The sequence below is a fragment of the Homo sapiens genome, chromosome 9 (genome assembly GCF_000001405.40).
Source record: "Homo sapiens chromosome 9, GRCh38.p14 Primary Assembly".
Classification (NCBI taxonomy): Eukaryota; Metazoa; Chordata; class Mammalia; order Primates; family Hominidae; genus Homo; species Homo sapiens.
This window is the reverse complement of record NC_000009.12, coordinates 101080277-101101550: the sequence shown is the minus strand read 5'-3', so window position 1 is coordinate 101101550 and position 21274 is coordinate 101080277. Positions and strand designations below refer to the sequence as shown.

Below are 21274 nucleotides of genomic sequence, written 5' to 3'. Positions count from 1 at the left end.
AATTGTTATTGTTTCTTTTTTTTTTTTTCCATTTGAATTACCTCAGATTATCCTCAGGTCTTCAAGAAATGTGTCAACCACTGTCCAGAGCTGGTTCTGGAGCTGCAGCTGGACCAAAAGGTGACATACAGTAACAAAGATTCAGGAGCATTGACAGTAAACACTCATTTTCAGGACAGGACCACATTTCCTTTAGTATTAGCATACTAAATAAAAGAATGATAAATAAAAAGCCAGAAAACCCAAGGACACTTATTATATTTTGATGGGAGAAATATATGATGATATGTAAGTCATCACTGGCACATTAACCCAGTCCACATGTTTCTTCAGAGAGGTCCTAACTTTGATAAATCCTTAGAAGAATTCATGACTGCCATCCCACCACACAAAAAAGTCAAGAACCATTGGTAAAGAATGAGAGAAATGTAACTAATTATAACACAGAGCAAATGCTATAATAAAAGAATGCACAAAGTTCCAGCAGTAAGCTCAACAAGACACTAACAGGAATGGGTGTGCATTTCTTAAGGCTTAATTTACTTACACATACCTTTTAGTATACACAATACTGCACACTGGCTCAAAGTGTGAGTTTTGAGATCAGGCAGATCTGCATTCACATTTGATTCTCCCACTGTTTAGCTATGTTACTGTGGGTGAATTACTTTGCATTACTAACCACAGTTCTCTTAGCTATAGAATGGGGAAATAACAGTCCTAACTGTGGGGCCCTAACTATGAGGATTAAATTATAAAGAACCTGGGGAAATACCTGTGTATTATAACTGCTTGATAAATATGAACTAGGAACACAACACACACACACACACACACACACACACACACACACGGAACAAAGAGTAAATAGTTTCTGATGAACTGTCTTTGAGCTTCTCCCATATATTATCAGAAAATAATTCCTTGAAATTTCTTAAATGCTAGCATATAAAAGTGTGTGTTCTAAAATACATTTCCGTAATAATTATATTATTTTAGTGGTCAAAAATAATGATGTTGCACTTTAAGCAGGTGAGTTGAGAGAAGTGTGAGGAGTTGGGGTGGAAGACTCATACAAAGGCAGACAGTTCCAATAATACCTAGAAAATGCAGTCTTAGGTTTTTTTCACAAATAAAAATAAATAAGTAATTAGAAGGTAAAACCTAATTCTTATTCCTTTCCCAGGTCCCCCCTTTAATCCACTCAGTCTCATTAGCCTGCCTTTGCAAATGGAGATGAAATAATTTTGCATTGCAAAATAATCACTGCCACCCCAAAGGTGAGATCTTCCCATCTTCTTCACTTTCCATGTGTGACATTCTTTAAATCAGACCTTTTTATCTTTCTACTTTGCTGCGTTCTAAATTTAGTTAGGGACCCATATTAACTCATTTTTTTTTGTAAATTTCATGTTTCAGAATATTGCACGTAAGAAAAAAAATGCCTAAAATGTGATTCTTGTAAAGGAAATGATGAGCCCCTCTGACCGTATGTCAGAAAAAGAAAGAAAGAAAATAATCAGCCACCACATTTTTTTCCCAAATCTATAACTCTTTCTCATTTTACTGCAATACACTGAGAAAAAATAATCATCAGTGACTGGATCTGGGAAGCAATTTATTATTGGACATTAGTGGAAAACTCTCTTTCAGTTCTATACAGCACAGACTCCTTCACTGCTTCAAGGGGAGAAGAGGAGAAAGAAGGGCACTTTCTGGTGAGCCATATTTATTTAGTGTACTGTCATCCCTTGGTATCCATGGGGGAGTTGTTCCAGGACTTCTCAAGAATACCAAAATCTACAGATACTCAAATCCCTTACATAAAATGGTGTAGTTTTTGCATATAACATACGCATGGTCATTCTCCTGTATATCCTAAACCATCTCTTAATTCCTTATAATACCTAATACAATGTAAGCACTATGTAAGTGGCTGTCATATCGTATTGTCTAGGGAATGATGCAAAGGGAAAAAAGTCTGTACCTGTTCAGTACAGATGTAACCATCCTTTTTCTCCCCATGTATTTTCAATCTGAGGTTGGTTGAATTCATGGATGGGTAACCCACAGACAGGGAGAGCTGGATATATTTGCATTTCATGCTTTTTTTTCCCACCACAATTAATTTCTCTCAACTTTGCAATATATGTCAGAAATCAGAAAACAAATCCTTCTTCCTAGTCAATATTTAGGACATGAATATTTACCAAGTGGCTCATCACAGGATCATAGACAAAAAGGGAAACAGACGCAGACAAACAGTGCTGGGCTAGGAGGGACATTAGAAACAATTTAATTCAACTTTCTCCATCATAATAGCATTCATAGGGTTTTGTTTTGCTGTTGCTGGTTTGTTTGCATTTTACTAAGCACTTTACATGGCTTGTCTCTTTAAATATTCACATCCCCACTGACCAACACACTCCTCCCCCGCCTCCCCCCGACACACACACACCACATCCATTAGACTTATTTTATAGAAAATTGAGGTTTAGAGGGATTGAGTGACTTTCCGAGAGTCAAAGAACTAGTAATTGGTGCCTTTAGGCTTTGAACCCAGGACTGAGCAACTCCAGAGCCTGTCCTTGTATAAGAACAAGCATGTCGAGGACAGCCTTTAAACGCTCATCTATAGACAAAAGAGAAGTTAGTGAGCTCTTGTTCTCTTATATTCAAGACTCACTTCTCACTTTCCATATTTGAAAATGGAGGCCCAGAAACTCCAATTAATGAACCAAGACCACAAAAGTACCCAGTGGCATGGCCAGGATGGAACTCAGGAATTCCTGTTCCCAGTTGGTTCCTCTTGAACCACACACTTGATCCTTGACATTTACATTAAATACACTTTTCCTATTTTTAAAGGGATGCACTGTTTTGAGAGGCCACTTGCTGCTGCATCTTGCCTGCTTCCCTGATGGGTTGACTTCATTTCCCTTTCTCTTCTTTTACCCACCATTCACATGTTGATGACCCCTGGGGCTCCACATCTTTAGCCTCTTTGTTCCCCACTCATTCACTAGTCAGTCCCATTCCCATGAGTTTAGTTATCACTGACAGATCATCTCCACACTTCTGTCTTTGACCTGAACTATTCCCTGACCTCCAGACCCTAGAAGGGGTATGCAACCTCCCCTTCTGAATGTTGCAGAAGTGCCTCGATTGACTGTGTCTGATATCAAATGCATCATCCCTCCCTGTGCATCCTGCCTTCCTCCCCCATCTCATTTATTCGTTCTACCTGATACTCATGACCCACCAGGACACAAGTCCACGAGTGCTATTGAATTTTACTTCTAAAATGTCTTCTTATTCTGCCTCTTTCCACTGCTTTTGCTATAATTTAAGACCTTATCATCTGGCATAAACAGATGTTGGCAGTAGATTTCCTGCTACATTTCCAATCTATCTTCCACTCGGCCTCCAGAGTGATATTTCTGAACACAAACCAATCACATGACTTCCTTGCTTAAATCTATGCATTGATGCTCTATCACTTACTGGGAGGGGGAAAAAAAGCACCACCATGTTCAGGTTCAGTGTTATAGGCCACAAGGACTTCTGTGACCTGATGTCTCATGAACACTCTAGTCTCATTCTCTACTCCTCGTATTTTCATTATACAAATCCAAAACTACATGAGGTTCTCCAGACATGCCAAGCTATTTTATATTTTATGCTTATTGCCTTAGCTGGGCCCTCTTACAGAAATACCTCCCCCACCTACCTCTTCCTGGCATCCTGAAGAATTCCTAATCAGCTTTTGAAACAGACCTCACACGTCATCTCTTCCATCCACACATCCTCCTCTGGGTGGATTCCATTCCGAATGTGGCCATTGTTTCTTGTGTGTCTCTGGTCCTTGGACACTCGTTGCTGCATTTCCCACAGTGTATGGTAATTATTTGTATGTTTGTCTTATGATACAGACAATGAATACTTTCAGGTGTAAAACACATACATACCTTCTAGGGTTAAATCTACTCAGATGGTACTAGCACTCACTCAGATATTCCACATACCCTCAGATTTTAAACATGCTTGTTCACATGTTTGACAGAGGTATTGAGATGTAACACAGGTTCACTTATATTCTAAGCACATCATTCAAATGTTACATGTGCTCCTGTAGATGGCACAATACTTGTTTGGGTGATACATTTGTCCCTTAAATGTTAACATGTTCACTTAGATCTGACTTAGATGTTAATCAGTTCACTTGGGTGCTACATGCAGGTGTTACACATACTTAGGACAGTGGTTCTCAAAATGCACTTTCCAGACCACCAGGCGCAGCATCACCTGGAAGCTCATTAGAAATGCAAATTCTAACCTCACCCTTAATCTGCTGAATCAGAAACTCTGGGGTGAGGTCCCAGCAATCTGTGCAAGTTGTGCAGATGATTCTGGCCATGCTCAAGTTTGAGATCCACTGACTTAGATGTCACACACCCTCATTCAGCTGTTCTCCCTGCCTGTTCAGATGATGTCCTTATTCATGTGGGTGATACACATGTTCACTAAAATGTTACACATGTCTGCAGCTTTGATCTCCTGGGCTCAAGCAATCCCTCCCACTTTAGACTCCCTTGTAGCTGGGACTACAGGTGTGGGCCACCACATCTGGCTAAGTTTTAAATTTTTTTGTAGAGATGGGGTCTCACTATGTTACCCAGAGTGCTTTCAAACTCCTGGGCTCAAGCAATCCTTCCACGTCAGCCTCTCAAGGTGCTGGGATTACAGGTGTGAACCACTGTGCCTGGCCAGCTTTTCTAAAAACCATATTCACTTAGATGGCAAAGAGCTCCAACATTACACACTGATATTTATATAGCACATGTGCTTATTCAGATGTTATTCCTGAGATATTGCAAATCCTCATTAGACAGCACACATGTACATGAAAATAATGCAAATGTTCACTGTGTTGTTAACAACGCTCATTTAAATGTTACATATGTTAAACTATTCACTTTGATCTTTGATATTCATGTGCTTATTTAACTATTACCTACCCTTTTGCAGATGATACACATGTTCACTCAGGTCTTATGCATGTTTATACATATGCTTCACAAACATCTTCTGATGTTATATATGCCTATTCAGATCACTCTTGCTCATGTAGACACCGATGGATCATTGCATTATATGTGCACTCACTCAGATATTGTATCGTGTACCAGGTGTGCATTGCTAACCAATCCATGCTAGAGATGATCAAGGAGTAGCTACTGTTCTGGCCACTTCCCACTGTGATTATGTTATTCTTCTTCTGAAAGGTATACTTGGTCCTCTATGGCCCCCAGGCCCTTTCCTGATGCTGCTGGCATTCCACTGCTTTTTAAGAAGAATGTGCTGGCCCACCCATTGCCTCATCACTTTTTGTGATCTTCAGGGTAGCCCAAGCACACCACTGTTTACACAGAATTTATACCTGTTTGCCACACTCAAATACCCTCATCTACTTGAAGAAAATTGTTCCAGCAATTGTAAGGCTTTTACTGGATTTGAATGTGCTTATAACCACATCTTCTGTCATTTTTGGCAACCCACAGTCATGTAACTACAAGGCATTCCATGTTCATTCATTTCAGGGAAGCTTTTGATTGGTTCTACTTCATGATGTTACAATTGCTTTAACCACAATCAATAAGAAAGGCTTGGACAGCAACACTGGGTCAACATTTAAAGCAAAGAGTATTGATTGAGAACTTATTATGAATTCAGCCTCCTTCAGAGGCCCAGAAATACTTCTCTGTGTGTCCCAAGTGTTTCCTCCTCCAATATGCAGAGAAAGAGCTTGGTGTTTGGAGTCAGACTGGTGGTAATTTGAATCTCGGTTCCACCACTTACTCTGTGACCTTGAGAAAACCATTTAATATTTCAGAAACATGGTTTCTTCATCGTATAAAGGGGATAGTAATGCCTACCCTGAAGCTTTTATGTGAAAGTTTTATGTCTGGCACATAATATGTGATCAAGGAAGTTTAGCTTTTAAAAAAGGATTATGTTATAAGCTAAACAAAGGCAAAAATTATGCTTTCTCACATCGAAACTACCATGATACATGCAGGTAAGGTTTGGACTGGCAGCCAAGCTCCATTTATACAGGCAAACAAGCCCATCACAGTCTCAAGAAAGATCCAGACCAGGAACCTCCAAGGAGTAGTAAGGACAATGCTCAAAAGTCCAGCAGTCCAACAAACAATCAGCTACTATAATTCTACCCACAGCTGTCAGAAAACTCCTCAGCAGAAGCATAGGAAGCAGTGGGGAATGAATAGAAGTCCCAGTTATCTCAGATGTTATTCAAATAAAATCTTGGAATAGGGATTCAGTCTAAAGTACCATCCTATTGACTGAGGCACATGAGGATAGAAGAAGTGAGACTATTGAGCTTGGAAAACATGGTACTAATGGACCATTCCAGGACAGACAATTTGAAGATCTGAGAAAGGGATAGACAACTATATAAACACTGACTACAGTCACTATTCAGACACCTTACACTGGGTCAGATTAGCTGCAAGGCCATCGACAACACAGCCTGGAGCTTGTGTTCAGCACTGAGGCTTGATGCTACCAGGCACTAGGGAAGAGGATGGGGGTCCTTGAAACTTCCTGCCTAATATCAGATTGTTTCTAGAATGGAGATAGACTGAAGCCCCATGGGAGGTCACTAGTGAGCTGAAAAAAGTGGAAGCAAGAAAATGGGATTGTGGGTTGGTGACACAGTGGCTGCTAAAGTAGTTTTCCCATGTTTGCCACATTTAACTCACAATTTGGTGCTTATCAACCAAAAGGATCACCTGGCTGTATGCATTCATTCTTTAAATGAGGCAACCTATGTGCAGTGTTTAGAACAGTGCCTGACATAGACTAACGACCATATAAGCATTTTCTAATATGATGGTATTTATGAATTAATTCAACAACTATATAATGTATAGCTGCATGTTTTAGTTTTGAGGGATATAGGAAAATAAAACAGTCCTAAGCTCAAGGGATCAATAATCTATTAATCTAATCTGATTTTTATAAACATAAAAATATAAAGGAAAGAATGCCTAATTATGCATGGGTTTGGTGAGGTGGGTGTGCTCCAGAGAGCTTCTCTGGCGTGTTTGAGTGCATTCTGCATTCCTGTGTATTCAGCAAGACAGAGAAAGTAGGATGTTGCAAAAGAACACTAGCAACTGCAAAGGCACAGGAGGGTAATACAATCAGGGAAATGAAAGGAGCCAAAGATACTATACAGAGAATAGAAAAAATGCGAGCTATAGAGGAAGGTTAGAACCAGATAGCAAAGGCCTTAAGTGTCTTGATAGGAGATTAGACATAAGCCCATGGGTAATAGGGAGCCACTGAAGGTCTTTAAGAAAGAGAATGGCTTGAGTTGATTTGTCTTTTAGAAATATCACTCTGGCTACCATATGAAGAATATCCGGAGAGTGGCAAGGCAGGAAGAAGGGAGCTTACTAGAATATTCTGGCTGCAATTCAGATGGATGATGATGATGCCCTGGATAAAGGAGGAGCAGGAGAGCTGCAGATGGGAGGTAAGAGGTAAAAATTATGGGATTTGATGATCACATGAACAAGGGGTTGGGAGAGAGAACATGTATCCTATCACACTTTCAGAAAAACTGCAAGTTACAAATCAAATGTTGCATTGGAGCTGGAAACAATGGTCTGCTCCTTTGGTGAGTAATCCAGGAATGCTGGCAATGATTCACAGATTCCTGGTCATCATGCATTCTGGGCCTTGACTACTTCTGGGATGATAAAGCCCCAAGGCTGATCTAGTGAAAAGAGGTAGTCACAATCTCCATTTCATTTAAGCAAAGAAGATGGAAGTGGCTGCTATGTAGTAGTGATGCACTTACATGTCAGTTGAGTAGATGGATGAAAATTTTAAAGTTAAAGTAGAAGAACATAGGGTTGAATGCAAAATTGGTCCATGGTTGTGGCATGTTTGCTAGATGCATCAAAACAGACAAGGAACTAATTACATGACTTCTGAATAGGCAGAAGGCTGACATTCTGAAGTTTCTAAGCTCTGTTATAGCTCCCATGACCAAAATATTCAGTTAAAAATGTCAGGGCTACATATTAAGTGGGCACTCAATTGAGTGAATAAATTAATGAATGAATTTTTCTGAAATATTAAATCTAGCTTTCAAGATTCCCCAGTGATTACTTTATCGTTCATATTTTCTACATGGGCTTGGTGGCAGCCTATTAATAACTGAGAGTGTTGATTAATGGATTAGTATTAACTTGGAGGGAAGTTTCAGCATTCCCAGGTTTCTGTATTTGGCTCAATCCTGTTCAAGCTTTTAGTCTATAATTTAGATGAAAGTGCTATTGTTATTCTTATCAAATTTGAAAATGACTCAAAGCTGGTGACTTGCCTCTCTCCTTCCTTCCTTAGAAAGTAGTGAGAGTATGTCTAAAGCTCAAGCTGCCATAATAAAAGACCATAGGCTCGGTAGCAGTAGCTTAAACAACATTTATTTCTCTGGAAGCTGGAAAGTCCTAGACCACAGTGCTATTAGATTTGGTGTCTGGTGAGGGCCCTCTTCCTGGTTTGCAGATGGTCATTTTCTCACTGTGTCTTCACAAAGAAGAGAGGAAGAGTAAGCTCCAGTCTTTTCCTCTTCTTATAAGGACACTAATCCCATCATGGGGACCCTCGCCTCGTGACCTCATCTAACCGTAATTCCCTTTCAAAGATCCCACCTCCTAATACCATCACAGCGAGAATCAGGGTTCCAATAGATGGATTTTGAGGGGACACAAACAATTAGTCCGTAATAAGATGGAAGTCAAGGAAGATTTCCCTGAAGAGGTGAGCCCTGAGCCGAGATCTGGAGGATAAGCATGGACATGGGAATTCACTTCAGAGACAGGACGCAGGGTGCAATGTTCCTGCAGCACGAGGGAGTAAGGGCCCCTGGAAATGCTGAAAGGCCAGTGTGCATGGGGCACAGAGAGGTAGGATAAGGCTCAAGAGGTAGGCAAGGCTGGACTGGGCACCCATTTTATTTAATAAGGATTTAAACTATGGTGATACCCTTATTCACCAAATTTATGTTGAGAAATTACTATGTCAAATACCAGTTAGGCACTAAAAATATACTAGGAGTGATAAACTGGACAGATATGACTCCCTCCTGGTCCTGATGAAACTTAGAGTCAAGAAGAGCAGAGAGATAGTTAAATAAACAACAACAACAATAAATCACAAAATTAATAGGTTCTGAAATAGGGAAGTAGGGACATATAACAATTTGGAGGACGGGGATCAGCAGAGGCTTCCTAAAGAAAGTGACATTTAAAATGACACCTGAAAGAGAAGTAGACTTTAGCAAGACAAAGATAGAAACACAATGTGTTCTACTTTGAAGGAACAGGTGTACGGGCCCAGAGGTGAGAGAGAGCATGTTGTGCTGGAGGAAGATGAAGTTCAGAAGCAGCTGAAATAAAGGGTGCAAGGAGAGAGTGTCAAGAGAAGCAGCTGGGGATGTAAGCAATGGATACATCAAGAGGGGACCCATGCTTCACGTTAAGAAGTGCAGAGGGAAGGAGGCGTTTCGAATGCCTTGGCAAGGAGAAAGCCAAAAGCTGGGAGGCCAGTTAGGAGATTATCTGCACAATTCAAGTGAGAGTTGATGAGATCCGAATTGCAAGTCAAGACAAGAAAGGAAAAGGAAACTGGAATGGTTGAGATATATTTAAGAGATAAAAGCCTTTAGATGGAGTAGCTAATTAGCTAAGAAAGGTATGGTAGGCAGAATAATAACTACCCAAAGATGTCCCTGGACGAATCCCCAGAATCTATGAATATACTAGGTTATACAGAAAAGGGGGATTAAGGTTGCAGATGGAATTAGGTTGCTAACCAGATGACCTTAAATATAGAGATTATCCTACATTATCATGGTAGGCCCAATGTGACCACAAGGAGCCTTAAGGGTGGAAGAGGAAGACAAAAGAGAGAGCCAGAGGAATTGGCAGTGTAAGAAGGACTTAGGCTGAACTTGCTGGGTTTGAAGATGAAGGAAGGCAGCTATGACCCAAGGAACACTAGGAAAAGCAAGAAAACAGATTCTCCCCCAGAGCCTCCAGAAGACATGCCGCCCTGCCAACATCTTGACTTTGGCTCAGTGAGGGTCATTGTGAACTACTGACCTCCAGAAATGTAAGATACTAAAGTTGTACATTTAAATCACTAATTCTGCGACAATTTGTTAGAGCAGCAATAAAAAATTAACACAGTGAGAGAGAGGAGGGATTGAGGATGATACCAAGATTCTGTCCTGGGCAACTATATGAGATGGTGTTTCTGTAAGGAAACATAGGAGGGGAGAAACAGGTTAAGGAGAAAGGTGTTGATTCACTTCTAAACACATTGAATTTGGAGTTCTGCAATACTGATGTCAGGTACATGCATGGGTCTGAAGATCAGAAAATAACTCTAGATTAGAGATGCAGATTTGAGATTGATTAACATATGTGGTAATTTAGGCTACCAAGCAGAGGAACAGTGGAGGGGGGAAGAAGAAAAGGGAGGAGGGGAAAAGAAAGGGAGGGAAGGAGGATAGGAAGGGACCTAGCACACAACCATGAAGAACAGTGGAATTTAGAGGATGGGGAAAAAAAAAGAAGCACATGAAGTTGAAAAGGAGCAGCCAAGAAGAAAGGAAGAAAACCAGAAAGGCACAGCCATGCAAGGCAAACTTAAAATATGTTTCAAGAAGGAAAGGTGGGTCCCAATAATGCATTACTGTTTGTTTGTTTGTTTGTTTGTTTGTTTGTTTGTTTTGAGACAGAGTCTTGCTCTGTCGTCCAGGCTGGAGAGCAGTGGCACGATCTCGGCTCACTGCAAACTCCGCCTCCCAGGTTCAGAATGCATTACTATTGAAGAGGTTATAGCAGTTAAAAAACGGAGACGTGAACACTGAACTCAGGTGGAAGGAGGCTACTGGCACTCTGGAAGCCAGACTGGGGTGGGTCAAGGGTGGATTGAGGGAAAGCATAATCATCCATAAGAAAATGCACAATTTCAATAGAAATCAAACAACACCTGCATGTGTGTGCACACAGTTTTTCATCTTTAAATCAGCAAACATGAAATCTTTTTTATTTATTAAATTTTATGCAGTCCTGGTGAAATTTCAGGGAAATAAGGACTCTTATACATTGATAAAGATTGTATACTTGGTGATATGTGTTGAATTATGTCCCCCCAAAAAGATACACTGAAGTCACAACCCCCTATACCTCAGAATGTGACCTTGTTTGGAAACGGGGTCTTTGCAGATTTATCCAAGTTAAGAGGTTCTAATCTACTAGGGCTCATGTCGTTATATAAAAAGGAAATTTGAATACAGACACAGAGGGCAGAAAGTGTGAAGAGACACAGGGAGAATATGCTGTGTGAAGATTGGAGTCATGCTGCCACAAACCAAGGAATATGTCTGGGGCTCCCAGAAGCTGGAAAAAGCAAGAGATGATCCTTCCCCTACAGGTTTCAGAGGGAGCACAGACCAGCCAACACCTTGTTCTCAGACTCCAAGCCTCCAGTCTGTGAGACAATAAATTTTTGCTGTACTAATCCACCAAGTTTGTGGTATTTTGTTACTGCAGCCCTGGACAACTAATACATCTTGCAAAAATCTGCCCCAGGACAGTTTAGAAATATGTATCAAATGCTTCTAAAGCAGTAATTTTGACTCAATCTCAATTAATTTATAATAATTAAAAATAACAAGAGACTCTTAAACAGGAAGGTTCACTGTGATAAGTTTATAATGATGAAAAATTAGAAAAACAAATCAAAATGAAAATAAGAAGTTGGCTGACTAAACCATGTATTTATAAGGTGAAATATCATGTGTTAAACACTATTAAAATACCATTTTAGAAGAAAACTAATGATATGAACAAATGTTCATACTACATTTTTACATGGAAAAGCAGGTTACATTTGGTCCGATATTATTCCAACTTTGTACTTCACGTGTATATCTAAACAATGACAAGCATTAAAGGAAAGCGTGGGCGATTTCTATCTTCATCTTAACACTTTTCTTGTTTTCTGATTTTTCTACAGTGAATATAATCATGAGAATACTAATAGTATTTTTCAAAATATATTTAATTAAACTAGTTACAATAACAATGTGTTTGGTTAACAACAATTAACTACTATCTATCTATCTATCTATCTATCTATCTATCTATCTATCTATATTCTAGCTTTATTACTTACTATGTATTCCTGGGCAAGTCCCTTAACTTTTTGAACATCTATTTAATAATCTGTAAAATGAGAATAAGAACTTTCTCATTTGGCTGTTGTGAGGATTGAATGATAAAACTGATTTAACACATATTAGCATAATGCCTGCCAAATACTACATAGTTAATAAAAGTTACCCACTATTATACGCCAGTCTCCTAGAATTAGCTTATCAGGAATCAGAGATCCATGACAACTCACCAGGAAAGGTAATCCCTGTGAGTTTTAAATGTTCATGATTTATAATTGTTGTAAGGTGTCAAGATATTTGTTTCATCAGCTGAGTACTAACATTCCAGGATCAGTAATGATGCAGCACAGCAAATATGAGTAGCTCTTTTGTGTTTGTGTTGTTACTTTCCATTTAATGTTGTAATTTCATTATAAAGGAGATTTTTAGACATGGAATAATAAAAGGCTAAGCAGGTTAAAAGTGATTACTATAAGATAAATGACAGCTGAAATATCATTGCCAACCATTTCTCATTGTAATCTTGCTGTAATTTCCTCAAAGCATTTTACAGGGTGAGAGCAATAAAAAAATGTCTTTTTGCTCATATAGAGCTCAACAATGGAAAATTTTATTGCTGATTACTTAAGATGTTCTGATATAGCTATCATGAAAATCAACAGTTGCTCAATATTACAGAACCAAACTCTGCGTTTTATTTTTTTTAAAAGAAAGGAAACACAAAGTGAGACTATTTATTTTCAACTTCTATGCTATTCATCTGGCAATTTCATTTGCCTACTATATGGCCTATCTGACTTCTATAAATAGAGAGGAGACAGTCGTTTCATAAGCAAATAAATATTTTTATATTAGAATTACTTTTTTTCAATAATTATTTTATTTTTAATTTTATACATTTAAGGTGTACATCATGACGTTTTAATATACATACCGAAGTGATTACTGCCATCAGGTAAATGAACAACCATCATTGCACATATTGGAAATTTGCTGAGAGTAGATTTTCTGTACTCTTACCACAAATTCTTTATTGGTCCTCAAAGTCACTTTCCATCTGGACATACCTGCACCGTTTTATCAGAAATTCCTTGATGTTCCCTGCAATATCTAAATTCAACTAGTCATTTCCATGAGGATAAGGAGGGTAGAATTGAAGGCAGGGGAAATTTTGATGCTTCTTTTCATATTCCAAACTATCAGTAAGGGTCCTCTTCTAATTTGTACTTGAAAAGGCCTAAAAGCATTTGTTCGTGCAGTGTTGACAAACTCTCTACCATGTACCAGTCTCTCTGCTTAGTGCTGGCATTTATCAGAGAGACAGAGATACATCTAACACCTGTTATTAATGAGTCAAATTTCAGATTAAAGGAATGATTGGTGATTTCATTTGTGGAAGAAACATTTGACACAGAAAACAATACGTAGACAATTCTGAATAAAATAATACCAAATAGTCACTCTCACTTCTAGAAAAGATTACGATCAATGATTAGCAACACTGAATGGGTTAATTTCTCCCTTCCCACTTCCCAGATAATCTATGTAAGACCCTAGAGACTTATTTACATAAAATGTATTGACACTTCACATCAGTGTAAATGTGGTTTCCTGTTCATTATGCCACATTTTCTGAGAACAAAGAACAAGTAAATTCAACCCAGTCTACATTGGTTTTAGAGGGCCACTAAAGTGAGACCTAGAGAAACAAAGCTAGAGTGAATAAAAAGTGAAACCCACAGCAAGCCAAGTATTTATCCTACATTTTATAAACGTTTCTTTGGTAGAAGTAGATATAATTTTTACATCTCTCGTTCTTTTCTTCTCATGATTTCTATGGCTTCCTGAATAACATGTATGGAGACTTTTAGTAGAAAAATGAAGATGACAATGAGAAAAGACTAGCAGAATAAATAAACATAAAACAGGGACATTAAAGTACATATTCAATTAAAAATTTCCTTTCTTAAATGAAGAGAGTGTCAGTAAAACTTCACTTCTTAGATTTTATAAGAATTATCTGTCATCATAGAAAATACAAATCTAATCTCAATTTTTTTTATTTTTATTTTATTTTTTTTTTTTTGAGACAGAGTCTCACTCAGTCTGTCACCCAGGCTGGAGTACAGTGGCGCAGTCTTGGCTCACTGCAACCTCTACCTCCTGGATCCAGGTGATTCTCCTGCCTCAGCCTTCTGAGTAGCTGGGATTACAGTGTACATCACCATGCCTAGCTAAATCTTGTATTTTTAGTAGAGATGGTGTTTCACCATGTTGGCCAGGCTGGTCTCAAACTCCTGACCTCAAGTGATCCACCCTCCTTGGCCTCCCAAAGTGTTAGGATTATAGGCCTGAGTTGCTGCTCCCAGACTTTCAAATATTTTTTTATTTGGGGCTGACCTGCTTCTCATGAGATAATATTTAGATTAGTCATCAAAGCCTTGGAACACTGTGGATATAGAGTTTTCTGTGCTGGTAAGAAGTCCATGAAGGAGTATGGGAACCTGCTTATGGATTTGTGGCTATTGGCCTACTATACAGATTTTGTATATAGATTTTGACCAAGGATATAAAGGTTATCTACACACTTCTGTTCTACTCTGTGACTGAAACCTCTGATACTAGAACAAATGTTGGGTGAGAGTCTCAGATTTCTATGAGCAGTGGTGTGGTTGACATAGTAATGTATAGCCCAGATCACCCTTCAGGGGAAGATTACTGAAGACAGCCTCCAGATATAAGCATCTTCACAGTCACTTCAGCTGTAGGCAGCTACCTGGCTATGGGACACACCCTTCATGGGGTAGACCACATTTGGTTACTGAGCAAAATGGGCAAAAAGGTCCAATCATTTTGACCCATCATAGGACAACTCTGATGGAAAATTCCTATCCCAGAGCTCCCTGACAGATTGGCTGAGATTTTGTCAGACATATATCACCGTTTACCTTCTTCCCCTGCCTAATCTTGCTTCCTCCCACCTCTTCCATAAGTGCCGATCCCCAGTAAAACTCTTGTGCCCCAAATTCTAGCCTAATATCTGCTATCAAAGAGCTCAAGTGATGACATGAGTTGAGTATACAGAGATAAATGTCCTCAGTGTTCAAGAAGCTACATTAAAGACAGTAGACAAATGAACATAGTCATCATATCAATAGATTAAAATACAAAAAGCACATGATCGACTTTTCATAAAATCTAACACTCTTTCATGATAAAAACACTCAATAAACTAGGAATAGAAGGGAACTTCCTCAACCTGATAAAAGGCATCTACAAAACATTCATGGTTAACCTCATACATAATGATGACAGATTGAAAATTTCCAACCTAAGATCAGGAACAAGGCAAAGAGACACTTAGAGTTAAGGTCTTGATTGGGATGAAGACAGTAGAGCCCCCCCCGGTCCATTTCCAATGAGGGAAGTGGAACCCCAAGAAGCCAGAGTAAGTTCTGGGGACAAGCTAAAGAAGTGAGTCCACTTTACGGATTACCCCAGTGCCTCCAGTACCACATTCTTCTGAAAACTAGCCCCAGCCTCATTTAAAGTCCCTGTCTTTGACCTACTGAGGAATAACGGGATCCATTTTCTAAAAACTTTCTGGCAAAAGTTAATGAATTATGACTTCACTTCCAAATAAGAATTGAATTTTTTCTATCGCTTTTTCCCCCTCTATTCCTATAGTATCTTTTGTCTTTTAATGTTGGCCCCAATGTTTGTTTCTAAGACTTCATGCCTCTATGTTTAGGATTATGATTATAAATTGCCCCATCTGGCCATGTGCTCTGTAGATGGATCCCATCCTCTCATCCTTGACTCTCCCCTACCTCCTTCATCTTCCTTACTGACCTCACAGGCAGCCCTGTGAATTAGTCAAGTCATTTTTAGATTCAAGGGGTAGCAACTGAAGTTAAACTAGCTTTAGCCAAAGAAAAGGATCTTGGAAAGATATTCTAGAGTATCTTTTTTTGTAACTAAATAAATAGTTGAACAACCAAATTGCAGGAAATGTATCACTGGGCCTTGGAGACAACTGGGGCCAGGGATATGAATGCCATCTGGACTCTTTTTCACCCCCTCCCTCTTGTGTCTGTTTCTGTCTGTGAACCTGCTCCATTCCCATTACAGTGGTATCCTCAAAGCAGGAGATCATGGCTATCCATTGGCTCCTAAGCTTCCACAGCAGAGAGGTACAGAAACTGTGTTTTATTTTAATATGAAAAATAACAAACATTCTATTGGTCAAGGAATAAAGAAATAACTAGCCCATGAATCACAAAAATAATGACCAGGCCTAACCCATCCCAGAGAGGAGTTCTGCTTATGTGGCAAGGATTTTTGTTGCCATTGCTGTTTATCTTAATTGGAACACCTTTAGGTGGGACATGCATTCTCTGGCCAGACTCAGGCCCTGTCACACTGTCATATTCATCGATGTCACACAGCATGATTGTCCCTGAAAGAATTTGGGTTTGTAGCCCAAGGTAGACTGAATTTCTTAAGGATAGGCACTAGGCCTATTTTCCTTTCTTTATGCTTAGTACCTAGTCAAAGACCTACATACCATGTCCCAAAGAAATCCTTGAATCAAAAATTGAACAGAACTGTAACAAACCAAAGAAGCCTTGCAAAGCAAACTGTCACATCGTACATTAGAAAAGCATGACTCCCTCTATGAAGCTCTGGTTTTCCGCTTTTTTCTTTCCTAACAAAAGCCAGAGACTTTACTTCTCCTTTATAAACTTGGTGTTATAATAGTACCAACTGCACAGAAGATTGTGTAGATTAAAGGTAAAGAAAATAGAGCATGTGGCTCTGGGCCTACCAGAGCAGCATTAAATAAATCATCATCATCACTGTCACCATCATCATGTCAGCATCATCATTGCCACACTGCTTTCACTCTTAGGGAACCGCCTCCATAGGCATCTGGTGATGCATAAGAGTTTTAGTTCCTTTAGTATCACTGGTAGGAATTTTCACCATGTACCTTGCTGGGCACAGCATCTTCAACCTATCCAGATCCTGGAATTTAGAAAAGAGACTGGGTCCAAGCAGGTCTCAAAAGCATAGCACAGACTGTGTTACTCCTCCAATGGCTAGGACCACCTGATCATTTCCAACAAATTTTCCCTGATTAGACAGCCTCCCAGGAATCCCACACAGAAAGCTCTGAGTCAAAGTCCCCTTGTGTGCAAAGCTTAGAATAGGCCTCATTATAGTGACTGTAGAGAACTCCTCTAAACCCAGCCACTCAGGCCAAACACAATTTATCTTCTATGCTCCATAGTTATTAGATCTACAGATTGGGACACATTTAAACTGCATCCTCCTTACAGATGAGCTGTAAAGATTAATTAGGCAGTATCAGCCAAGGTGGAGGTCTCATGAGAATTATGCATGACTGTACTTACTCTTGTTTTTATAAGGCTTGGGAATATTCTTTCTTTCTCTTAGTTATTTAAAATAAAGAATCTGAGCATTTATAAGTAAACAGATGAAAGAATAAATCTTCGTATTCAATGCGGCATTCCTCAATCAAGCCTTCTTCTTTAAAATAGATAAAGGAATCTACACTGAGGATGCTGCATGGTAAGCGATCACTCCTCTTACGGGGACACTGCTTTATGGTGTAGATGTAATTTTCAATGTCATTTTGATTCAATCTTTTGTTAAAGATCTACCTTGAGTAACCAATTGATTTTTGTTAGTCCCTGGAGTAAATGCTTACGGGAGGCTTCATTGCATTTATTTAAGAGGCTCCTGCTCCTTTATGAAATGCATTTGATTTAATAACAGGAGAAAGAAAAAAGGCTTCATTTACTACATGCTATTCTTTCCAGTCAATTTTGCATAACTTTTTTTTTTTTTTTTTCTTGAGATGGAGTCTTGCTCTGTCACCCAGGCTGGAGTGCATTGGCACGATCTGGGCTCACAGCAACCTCCACCTCCCAGGTTGACACCTGTAATCTCAGCTATTCAGGAGGCTGAGGCAGGAGAATCGTTCGAACCCCAGAGCCGGAGGTTGCCTTGAGCCAAGATTGCGCCACTGCACTCCAGCCTGGGTAACAGAGTGAGACTCGATCTCAAAAAAAAGAAAACAAAAATTCTAGAGAGAACTAGTGTACGTTCCTGTTCCATAAAGCAGGATTCATTTGCTGATCTGTGCTGTAGAATCAGGCGTTTACAGTCCTTAAACTAGATTCTAAAGAAAAGGCCGGGCCTCAGCTTACTCCCATGCCACTTAGGAAATTCCTTTTTCTCCTTCTTCTCCCTTCTGATATTCGGTATCTTTGAATAGTCATGACAGCAATGAAAATCAGGGTGATGACAGTAGTTGTCCCTCACTGGCACATGCTGAGCAATTTACTTATATTTGCTTATTTAATCTTCACAGCAACCCTAAGAGGAACATTCACATCATCCCCATTTTACAAGTAAGAAGGCTGAGATTTAGAAAGATTAACTTGCTTGATCCAAGTCACACACATTTAGACCCAGGTTTATCTCTCCCCAAAGCCCATGATCTTTACTCCTGAATAACACATGGGACTGGAAAATCCTTGCCAAATAAATAATCAGTATACCAGCATTATCGTTCCAAATTTAAAACCCAGAAAAGGTAAGGAGTGGCCAAGCTTCCAGTGCAAACTAGTAAATGACAACTTTATTTTCACGAGCTTGACTTTGCAGTTAAACATATATCCAATCCAGTTTAATGCATGGCAAAGATAGCTTTCTCCCTGCAGCACTGGATTCACCATATGCAATAACATCTCATCACCTAAGGTGAACTTCACAGGGGCAAACCACTTTTTTCCTAAAAAAATAAAAATAAAAATCCCCTCCTTGGTGGGGGAGGAGGAATGCTTTTCTGCTTACCCCAACACCCCCTCACTCTCACCAGAAGAGAGAAAAAAATTACCCCCAAAATATCTAGGTAAGCTAATGTTGTAACTAATATGAGAGATAACAGAGAAGAAAAACAAATGGCTGAGCAAGTAAACCTAGGGACTGTAATAGTAACAGGGTAATCAGACACCACTTTTTCAACAAGAAATTGGAAGATATAGTATTAATAGGTGGATTACATGTGGTGGTTTTCAAACCCATAGCTAGAGCCCCTTATTCCCCTCCACAGTTGTCTCTAAGGCACTGCCCGTCTGACAGCCACTACATCCTCCACTCTCAAAAATGAAGCCCAGACATTAATTGGATGTAACTGACTTGATCTCAGGGACAACTCTTCAATATCTAAAGATGCATCAACCAGAGCATTGCACCTGCTTAAAATTGCAGATATTTCCTAATCCAGACAAAGAAAAGAGTGTGCTTCTTCTTGCACCAATTGTTGTGCCTTACAAAGGCAATGCCAGCCAAGTTAAGATCCAAGCTTATGCTCCTAGCTCTGTGTCAATTCAGCTACTCACAAGCTTCAGCGGATTCCCCTGATAACACATTTCAACATCCCACACAGTCTGGAGATTTCTGCTATTACCTAATCTCCATTCCTTTTTCTAAGATTTAAATACATCTCTGCTCATCTTACGTTAAGCAGAAACAGAATTGGACCATGTCGATATGTAACACAGAGAAAAAAATTAATCTAAATTTACTGTACCTATTTCTGATTTCTAATGGGGAAGTATAGGGATAGAGATGCCATAATTCATATAATTCTCCACTTCTTCTAACCCAATTCAGAGACTAGAGGGGAGGAAATAGATTGGAAGGCATTTCTGATTTAAAGTGGTGAATTAAATACATGCATTGGCCGGGCATGGTGGCTTATGCCTGTAATCCCAGCACTTTGGGAGGCTGAGGTGGGTGGATCATGAGGTCAGGAGTTCCAGACCAGCCTGGCCAAGATGGTAAAACCCCATCTCTACTAAAAATACAAAAATTAGCTGGGCGTGGTGGCAGGCGTTTGAGACAGAGAATTGCTTGAACCTGGGAGGGAGGCAGAGGTTGCAGTGAGGCGAGATCGCACCACTGCACTCCAGCCCGGGTGACAGAGCGAGACTCTGTCTCAAAAAAATAAAAATTAAAAAAAAGCACATACTTAGTTCTGCACCCACCCCCCAAACCACATTAAATCCCAAGCAAGATATTTTTTAAATGCTTGAACTCACAAAGGAAAATGGGAGAGGAGACAATAATCTAAAATGTTGGGGGCTAGAGAATGGAAGGATGGGTGACAACTGACTTGGTAGACTGAGAAAGCAGAATTCTAAATCAGCAGCAGGAAAAGGCAAGAAACAATCTGTTCTACACTGCAGAACTCCCACTAGGCTCCGGAATCAATGGCACCAGATACTTCTGAAAGGGAGAAAGATGATACGGCTAAACACAGGAAGATGTGTTAGAAGAGTGTTTAGGAAGCATTTGCTCCTCCTTAGTCTACTACCATTGTTCTTTCTCCATCTTAGTAGAACCTGGAGCTCTATTCTCAGGAATGGGAAAAAAGGGTCTCCAAACAGTTGAGTGCAAAGCCCCATACTGAAAACGATAGAATTATAGAGCATTTACAAACTGAATGCTCAGACCTCAGCCCCTTTCCATCTCTCAGTTCCCGGAGGTTGGCAGACATGCAGGGGATTAGAAGAGATTTCTCTGGGGATTGTAACCAGCCAAAGAGAAAATTCTAAAGATATTGATATCAGTATTTTTGTTGTTTGGTTGTTGTTGTTTTGGTGGGGGTTAGTTGTTTGCTTGTTTGTTTGTTTTTGTTTATTTTTATTTTATTTTTTGAAACAGGGTCTTACTCTGTTGCCCAGGCTGCAATGCAGTGGCACAATCATGGCTCATTGCAGCCTCAACCTCCCCAGGCTCTGGCAATTCTCCCATCTCAGACTCTCAAGCAGCTGGGACTACAGGCATGTGCTACCATGCCTTGCTAATTTTTGTAAAGGCAAGGCTTTTGCATGTCAGCCGGGCTGGTCTTGAACTCTTAGGGTAGCCTCCCAAAATGCTGGAATTACAGGCATG

The 21274-nt window shown here is 39.6% G+C and overlaps 1 protein-coding gene across 1 annotated transcript in view, besides 2 other annotated features; it reads right to left on the bottom strand.

Annotated features, from left to right (window-relative positions):
- PLPPR1 (phospholipid phosphatase related 1) overlaps positions 1–21274 on the bottom strand; it is a 296409-nt gene that overhangs the window by 223585 nt on the left and 51550 nt on the right. The window lies entirely within an intron of this gene.
- Positions 2241–2810: an enhancer, noted in NCBI's record as "OCT4-NANOG hESC enhancer chr9:103861023-103861592 (GRCh37/hg19 assembly coordinates)". NCBI's record gives its function as "activates a minimal SCP1, AML or CMV promoter by ChIP-STARR-seq in naive H9 embryonic stem cells {active_cell/tissue: H9 hESC(naive)}" and the evidence as "EXISTENCE:reporter gene assay evidence [ECO:0000049][PMID:30033119]".
- Positions 2811–3382: an enhancer, noted in NCBI's record as "OCT4-NANOG hESC enhancer chr9:103860451-103861022 (GRCh37/hg19 assembly coordinates)". NCBI's record gives its function as "activates a minimal SCP1, AML or CMV promoter by ChIP-STARR-seq in naive H9 embryonic stem cells {active_cell/tissue: H9 hESC(naive)}" and the evidence as "EXISTENCE:reporter gene assay evidence [ECO:0000049][PMID:30033119]".